This window comes from Homo sapiens, chromosome 6 (assembly GCF_000001405.40).
Source record: "Homo sapiens chromosome 6, GRCh38.p14 Primary Assembly".
Classification (NCBI taxonomy): Eukaryota; Metazoa; Chordata; class Mammalia; order Primates; family Hominidae; genus Homo; species Homo sapiens.
Window position 1 is genome coordinate 123,660,896 of NC_000006.12, and position 9,295 is coordinate 123,670,190.

Consider the following 9,295-nt stretch of genomic DNA (forward strand, 5'->3'; position numbering starts at 1 on the left):
GTTCTGGAGTCTGGCCACCCAGAGGCTGGACTCTCCTCCACCCATTCCTGGTCAAACTCACCTTGGCATCCACATCATTCTGTCATTGATGTTCTGCCAGTGTCTGCTGGTCTGTTCCTCTCAACATCCATCTGCTTGTGTCTGCGCCTGCTAGGTCACAGGTTTTTATGGGCACAAGATGAGGGGTGTGGCAAGCCAGAGTGGTCTTGGAAAAATGCACCATTTAGGTGTGAAAACAGGAGTGCCCATTCTCACTTAGGTCTGTGGCCACAGGCCCGAGGGTGGAGCCCTCACCATGGATCCCACCCTTCTCTACCCAGCACTTCCCTGCCCCCCTCCCATATTAATATGGTCTTGCCAATAACCTGGATCTGTATCCAGAATTCTACTTCTCACCACCTCCACTATTAATATCCTAGTATGAGTCATGATCTTTCTCTCCCTAGTATTGCCCAAAAAACCTCTTAAGTGATTGCTCTCTTTCATTTTTGTCCCCCTTACAGTCATTTCTCTACATAGCTGCTTGTGATTTTTGTTTGTTTGTTTGTTTTTTATAGAGACAGTGTCTTGCTCTGTCACCCAGGCTGGAGTGCAGTGTCACAATCTCAGCTCACTGCAACCTCTGCCTCCCAGGTTCAAGCAATTCTCCTGCCTTAGCCTCCCAGGTGGCTGGGACTATAGGTGCATGCTGCCACACCCAGCTAATTTTTTGTATTTTAGTAGTGATAGGGTTTCACCATGTTGCCCAGGCTTTTCTGGAACTCCTGAGCTCAGGCAGTCCACTCACCTCAGCTTCCCAAAGTGCTAGGATTACAGGCATGAGCCACCGTGCCCGGCTGCTGTGATCTTTTAGAAACAGAAATTTGATTACATATATTTCCTGCTCAGAGTATTTCAAAGGCTTCCGATGTACTTATTTAAAAATCCAAATTTCATGGATTTAAAGATCTACTAAAATTTTATCATTAAACACCTATTGACTTTATCTTCCACGACTGCTCTTCCTTCATTCACCCCATGTTTACTGTACCAAACAAACTGTTATTTCTCTAACTTGTCTCTACTTTTAAGTCTTTACACTTGTTGTTTCCACTACCTGGTATGTTCTGTTCTCAGTTATTAATATAATTTCTTTAATCCCTTATTCAGATCTTAAATGTCAATGAATTTCCCCCTTTCACTCAAAATGATAGATTGAATAATTGGTCACAACTCTTCACTCTTCTGCATTAGTTTTATATAAATCCAACCTTTCATGGCCTTATGCACATGTAGGTGGCATGTATTTCTCTGACCCTTGATTTGGGGCCAAGCCCTGTCTGTGACTTGCTTTAACCAATCGGGTATTAGCAGACCTGACAAAACCAAGGCTCAAAATGTGATTACCCAATTTGTCTTTCCCTCTTATTCTGATCTTTTGCCATGAAAAGAACATGCATGAGTGGCTACTGACTTAAATGGGCTGAAGAAACAGGTGGAAAGGAATTGAACTCAACCTGTAGCATGGAGCCAAGTCAAGGGAAGCCCAGCCTAAATCAAACTTTAGCCAGCCTGCAGATAGGTGTGTTGTACTGAAATTTTGAAGTTACTTTATTTTGCAGCAATATTGTGTCAAGAGCTAATTATTACACTCTTTTTAAAAGAGCCATATATATTCCATCACTTTTTATTCTTTTTCAGCTAAATTTTTGATATCATTCATTCCTACCCAACATTAAAATATGCTTCTTTAGTTTTTCTCCCTCTCTAAAATATTAATGTCTCTGAGAAAATGTCCTGTATGTCTTATTTAGCACATTATTCCCGGTGCCTAGAACCTGGTTCGGTACAGAGGAGGCATTCAATAGATAGTTGTGATTGAATGAATAAGAAGGAAGAGGAAGCCAGATACTAAATGTCATGATAAAGTGGGAAAAAATCTGCTGGAATTAAACAAATGAATGAAATGGAATGTTACATGGCTGAAGTCAGCAATTTCCATTTTGGATTTGATATTTCAGAGGTGAAACACTTCTAGGTCCATAGATCATATGACAGAAAAAACAGTGTGAGCGAAGCCTGTGCTGCCTAAACAGATAAATCTCTCCCCGCTCCCCGCACCCCTGACATCCATCAAAATGTCAAACAATCATATTCTGCATTTCTTAGGTCCCTTTAAAAGAGAATTGGATATAATAACTTTGCAATGTGAATAGACAGGGAAAAAATGTCAAATTATTAAAGTCACCACAGGTAGAAAGCAACATAACAGATGAGTAAGGACATTCTTTTATGAGAGAAAGGGGGCACTTGAAACTAAGTGTAGTACTAAAATTATTTGAATTCATCTATTAATATTTAACAAGTAATTTGAGTTGAGAAAGACTTCCTCTTCCTATGTAGTAAGTAACTTTTTAAAAAGATAGCACCTCAGAACATCTGTTTGCATAATGGTCTTCCAGTGTTCTTGAACTAAAATGTCAATTGGCAAGTAACATTTAACATTTTTAAATGTCTGTAAACTTGGGATTTGTTAATTATTTCTCCATTTTTCTGTGATGTCACTATTTTCTTCTTAGAATGCTTCATTTCCTGAAGGCTATCTAATTAATGGTCAGGCAATGAATACATGCTTAGCATTGGAGTGATGCAAAGTCTATTAATCCCAACAGTAACTCCCTAACATTTTTATGCCAGTGCTACTGAAAGCAGATTGCATACATTGGAAGCTGATAAGAGTGTTTATTCCAAGATTCAGCACTCAGGAATCTGATTATGCTGGGTTTCAATATATTGCCTTCAATATATTGCAATGGGAGAAAAATGATGTCTTATTTTGTTGATGAAACACAAGTATTCCAAATATGTTTAGAATTTTGTCTCAAACACATTATGAGAAATAAGTAGTTTATGTAATGTATAATTTAAGGTAGTTGGTTGCAAGCAATTGAAACTAAACTGGGTAAGTTGGTCAGAAAAGAAATGTACTTTATTTAGGCTTGCTTACTATGGGTAGAAAATCAGCTAAAGGATCAAGCTCTTTAAAAGGGCAGGAACCAGAGTAGCTCTAATGGTACAGGGCTCAGGAAATTCCAAATTCTGGCTGTGGTTAGAATGAATGAGCTCTCACCCTTTTTTCATGTTTCTGTCTCTCTCATCAAGAGTTGAAGTAACAGAACAGAAGTGCCAACTGTCCAAGTTTTGGTCAGGTATCAACCATGCTGGGAGAAAACAAGGCACAGACTACACGTAATAAAATAGAGAAAAGTCCCCAAAATGCAGTGGGTATGCTGCTACTGAAAGAAGAAATGAATGACCAAAAGCAATGAATATCTATCATTCTCATGAAACTCGCAGTCCTGATTAAGGAATAAATATCCATAACAATCATTCTTTAAGGGATGCAGTTTGTCAGGTTTTACTTACTATTTGGTCATCAGAATCTTGATTTTCTTTTTAAAGTGGGCAAAAGCAGTTCAACTCTCAGATACAACGAGGCATAAAATATTTTCTTGAGGTTTTTATGAAGATAAAAAATTTCTTAAGAAAGAGTGAAATAAAACTCTGGCTTTATACAATTTACTTTTTGATATGGTTTGGCTGTTTTCCCACCCAAATCTCATTTTGAATTGTAAATTCTCATAATCCCCATGTGTTGTGGGAGGGGCCTGGTGGAAGGTAATTGAACTGTGGGGCGGTTACCCCCATGCTGCTGTTCTTGTTATAGTGAGTGAGTTCTCAGGAGATCCAATGATTTTATAAGCGGCTTTTCCCTTTGGCTCAGCTCTCATAATTCTTGCTGCTGCCATGTGAAGGAGGACTTGTTTGTTTCTCCTTCCGCCATAACTGTAAGTTTCCTGAGGCCACCCACGCCTTCAGAACTGTGAGTCAATTAAACCTCTTTCCTTATAAATTACCCAGTCTTGAGTATGTCTTTATTAGCAATGTGAGAACAGACTAATACACTTTTATTATAAGCAAAGGAAACTATGGAGTTCTGTGTGTACATTGGGTGCATTACATGCATATACATAAATATGATTCTATATATAAATTTTTATAAAATTATTCATCTATAAGTTGATATAAATCCTATAAATCACTATAAATATTCTTTAATGGAGCTCTGATATACACTTAAATTCTTCTTCAGAGATAACAGGATAATATTAATAGTTCTTAGACAGACAGATCAGAGTTTTCTCTTCTGATTCAATTTGGGCTTTTTGTCTCTTTTCTTTACCTTGGTCCGATGCTCTTGCTTAGCGAATCCCTAGCATTGACCCCACCCCAACCCTGCTTCTGCTTTGCAATAGGATATAATTGTACTCTGAGCCCAGTTACTAAGTTCACAGTCTTTTACTCAGTTTATTTTAAATACTGGGTCTTTATGAGTAGAAGTGCAAGAAAAGCTTTCCTTTTTTTCTGTTCTCTCATAAATTGCTAGGCACTTGTTTTATTTCCCATCAGGAATGAAACCGTGATGCCACAGCTCTGTCTTTCTCTCCAGCCTGAGCAACCAATGGTCAATAATTCATCTTGGGTAGTATGAATAAAGCATTTCAAACTCTTTTTTTAGTACAATATTCACTTCCACCTGAGTTGCAGGTTTAAAAGTAAATGCATTGTTTGGCAATGGTATAGTACTTCCAATAAATAATTCCATTAATAGTGCTTACCAGTAATGCTGGTTAATTAATTTCAACCAATATGAATTATATCACTGATGATAGTACCTGATCGTAGTACTTACCAGTAATATTAGCTAATTAATCCTTTCCCAATTTTGAATGTCATATTAATAGTCTATTATCAAAAACTATTTAATGAACTAAAATATAAAGATATGTTGGGCATTTCTCAGATTCTTTCCAACTTTGTCCTTCAACATTCCTTTTGACAGTTAATAAGCCTGTCAAAATCAACTACATAGCAATTAAATTCAAGACATTCAGTTTGTAAGTACATGATAACACATTTTATAATATCATTTTTTTCTCAGACACAAGAAGAAAGGTAAGGTATAAGACATATTTAGGCATTAGAAATCTAAATCAATTTAATTTTCTAAGTATAAGTTTATTTTATCATATGGGGTTGGAAAAAATAAAGAAACAGTTTTTCCTTTTATACTCACACCATTTTCAATATTCTCACACTGGCCACCAAAACATTGGATGATTTTACCCATACCAAGTGTATTAGCCCATTTTCATACTGCTATGAAGAAATACCCAAGACTGGGTAATTTATAAATAAAAAGAGGTTTAATGGACTCACACAGTTCCACATGGCTGGGGAGGCCTCACAATCATGGTGAAGGTGAAGGAGGAGCAAAGGCACATCGTACATGTCAGCAGGCAAGAGCATGTGCAGGGGAACTGCCCTTTATAAAACCATCAGATCTTGTGAGACGTATTCACTGTCATGAGAACAGCACAGGGAAAAACCCACCCCCATGATTCAATTTCCTCCCACTAGGTCCCTCCCATGACATGTGGGGATTATGGGAGCTACAATACAAGATGAGATTTGGATGGGGACACAGCCAAACCGTATCACCAAGCAGTTCCCCAATGCTCAGTGAACAAGAACTGGGTGTGCTACAATTTAACTCAATTCTGACACTATCTACCTAGAGATAACCTCAGATCCTACAGATTAAGAGCTCAGTTTTACAAGACTGCCTCCCACTTCAGAAGTCAAGCACAAGTATTAAGTCCTCAGGTTACCACAACTTCTGTCCCATGTGGCTACAGGTCTGAGGTTCCCACAATCCGCTTCTCAGGTTCAATGATTTGCAAGAGTGGTTCATAGAACCCAGAAAAACAGTTTGGTTACTATTGCTGATTTATTGCAAGGATATTGTAAAGGATACAAATAAACAGCCAGATACAGATACTTACATAGAGGCTACAGTTTAGAAGGGTACCAAGTGCAGAAGTTTCTGCCTCATAGAGTTGAGTGCACCACCCTCCTGACAAATGCATGTCTTGTTGTTCACCAACCCGGAACCTATCCTAACTTTTTCCTTTTTGGTTTTTATGGAAGTTTCATTATATAGGCATGATTGATTAAATCATTAGCCACTGGTGATTTGCTTGACCTTCAGCTTTTCTTCCCTCCCCAGAGCCAGGGATGCCACTCAAAACTCCAAGCCTTTTTTTTTTTTTTGTCTGAGACAGAGTCTTGCTCTTTCTCCAGGATGGAGTGCAGTGGTGCAATCTCGGCTCACTGCAACATCTGCCTCCTGGGTTCAAGCGATTCTCCTGCCTCAGCCTCCCGAGTAGCTGGGATTACAGGCACACGCCACCACACCCAGCTAATTTTTGTATTTTTAGTAGAGACGGGGTTTCACCATGTTGACCAGGATGGTCTCAATCTCTAGACCTCGTGATCTGCCCACCTCAGCCTCCCAAAGTGCTGGGATTACAGGTATGAGCCACCACACCCAGCCAGTTCTAAGCCTTTAATCACATAGTTAGTTCCCCTGGAAACCAGCCCCTATCCTTAGGGGCTTTCCAAAAGTCATCTCATTACAACTCAAGTGTGGCTGAAAAGCGTTTGTTAGGATTAGCAAAAGAACCTCCTTTCACCTTTATGGATCTTATCCTTTAGGAAATTTCAAGGATTTTGGAAGATCTGTGCCAAGAATGGGAATGAAGACCAAATATATATTTCTTATTCTAAATCACAATATCATAGATATACAATCTCAAAGTTTCATGTACATATTGTAACTGGCTGGATCAGCTGTAGTGTGATTTGCCATATGTTTTAACCTACTTTTTAAGGAATCTGATACTGACAAAAAAATCACTTAAATTATAGCACATGGTTTAACTTATTCTTTTACTTTGCAAATATTAGGGTTTCTATTCAGTAAGCTCTTAGAGCCTACCTGGAAATTGTAGCACATGACAGCATTTGAAACTTACTGGCGTCAAATGAAAATTATACGAGGTCATTGTTTTGAGCTGTTTCTGTACTAGGCCCAACAGAACAAGCTAAAAATCAATATGAAGTCTCCCGTGTTAAAGTTTCAGGTCACCAAACCCAATCTAAATTGTTATCTGATCTTCTGAGAAAGATACTAACATCCAATTTCCCAAACCATCCAGTTTTAATCTTTTTTTTTTTTTTTTTGAGATGGAGTCTCGCTCTGTCACCCAGGCTGGAGTGCAGTGGCACGATCTTGGCTTACTGCAACCTCTGCCTCCCGGGTTCAAGCAATTCTCCTGTCTCAGACTCCCAAGTAGCTGGGATTACGGGAGCCCACTGCCTAACTAAATCTTGTATTTTTAGTAGAGATGGGGCTTCTCCATGTTGGCCACGGCGGTCTCCAACTCCTGACCACAAGTGATCTGCATGCCTTGGCTTCCCAAAGTGCTGGGATTACAGGCATGAGACACCGCCCCAGCCTCAATCTTTAATCAGCATGATAATGAGATTTCCCCTGCTTTAATTCTTACACAAAGAGGTAGCCTGAAGTAACCTGGTGTTAACTATTTAGTCACTTTCCTATTAATTTATCTCCCTGTCCCCACCTTATAAGAAAAATAACTTTAAAGAACTAATAACTCTTAGTTACAAATCATAAAATAATACAAAGCCAACTCTTTCTGCTCAGTAGTTCATTGGAACACTTATTCTGTTTTATAGAATGAAGTGTTACCTAATTCTAGATTTGAAAATAAAGCTAATTGAGGTCTTTAAACTAAATTTGTGAAATGGAAACCCATGCCAAATTTTGCATATGTTCAGCATGGTGTGGCTTGTAAGAAAATATTCAACATAATAATGATCTAAAATAGATATAAATTAATGCTAGGATTAGATGATATAACACAAAGAATTCTGATACACATATTTCCAATTTTTATCAAATCAAAACCTTCCTAAAACAAAACAAAACTATAGTGGAAGTAGTTAAAACAAAACATCTTTTGTTGATGATTTTTAACATACATTGATGTTTATTGCAGCATTAATATTACAGGAAAGAAGACTGGATCCAGACCCAAGAGAGGGTTCTTGTATCTCAGGCAAGAAAGAATTCTGGGCAAGTTCACAGAGGAAAATGAAAGCACATTTATTAAGAAAGTAAAGCAATAAAACAAAAACAATGGCTACTCCACAGACACAGCAGCTCTGAGGCTGCTGGATGGCTACTTTCAAGGTTATTTCTTGATTATATCCTAAATATGAGGTGGATTATTCATGAGTTTTCCAGGAAAGGGGCGGGGATTTCCTGGAACTGAGAGTTCTTTTTCCTTTTAGACCATATAGGGTAACTGCTGGACGTTGCCATGGCACCTATATACAGTCATGGTGCTGGTGGTAGTGTCTTTCAGCATGCTAATGCATTATAATTATCATATACTGAGCAGTGAGGACCACTAGCCGTCACTTTTCTTGCCATCTTGGTTTTGGCCAGCTTCTTTACTGCATCCTGTTTTATCAACAGGGTCTCCATGTCCTGTGTCTTGTGATACCAGTTCCTCTGGCCTCCTGTTTCATCCTGTGACTAAGAAAGCCTAACCTCTTGGGAATGCAGCTCAGTAGATCTCAGCCTTATTTTACCTGGCCTCTATTCAAGATGGAATCATTCTGGTTCCAACACCTCTGACATTAACACTCAAGATTAGATAAATTCCAGTATCAGTGGCATTTGCAGAACATAATCTTTAAAATATCTACTGTTTAGAAATAATACTTATAATATAAGAATAAAAGAAGGCCGGGCACGGTGGCTCACGCCTGTAATCCCAGCACTTTGGGAGGCCAAGGCAGGTGGATCACTTGAGACCAGGAGTTCAAAACCAGCCTGGCCAACATGGTGAAATCTCATCTCTACTAAAAATTAAAATATACATATTAGCCAGACATGGTAGTGCACACCTCTAATCACAGCTATTCGAGTGGCTGAGACATGAGAATTGCTTGAACCCGGAGATGGAGGTTGCTGTGAGCCAAGATTGTGCTGCTGCACTCCAGCCTGGGTGACAGTACAAGGCTCTGTCTCAAAAAAAAAAAAAAAAAAAGAATATTCACAAATATATTGTGTCAAATCATGATTAAAATTATTTCTACAATGCGAATATTTTTCAAATGAATATACACATTCACATAGAAACAAAAGCTGATGGAAAATACATTACTGATTTAAAATATGTATCTCTCTATGAAGAGGATATAAATGACTTTCATTTAATTTCTACTATTTTGTTAGTTTTCTATAATGATCATACGTTGCTGATATGAAAAGAAAACTACAGAGAACATTATAAAGCAAAGAAATCATGTCAATTTTGAT

The 9,295-nt window shown here is 38.2% G+C and overlaps 1 long non-coding RNA gene across 1 annotated transcript in view; it reads left to right on the forward strand.

Annotated features, from left to right (window-relative positions):
- Positions 1–8,369, forward strand: part of LOC105377981 (uncharacterized) — a 58,946-nt gene extending 50,577 nt beyond the window's left edge. The window contains exon 3 of the long non-coding RNA XR_942943.3: positions 7,965–8,369. This is a non-coding gene — a long non-coding RNA (uncharacterized LOC105377981). The remainder of the gene's footprint in view (positions 1–7,964) is intronic.
- Positions 8,370–9,295: the final 926 nt, after the last annotated feature.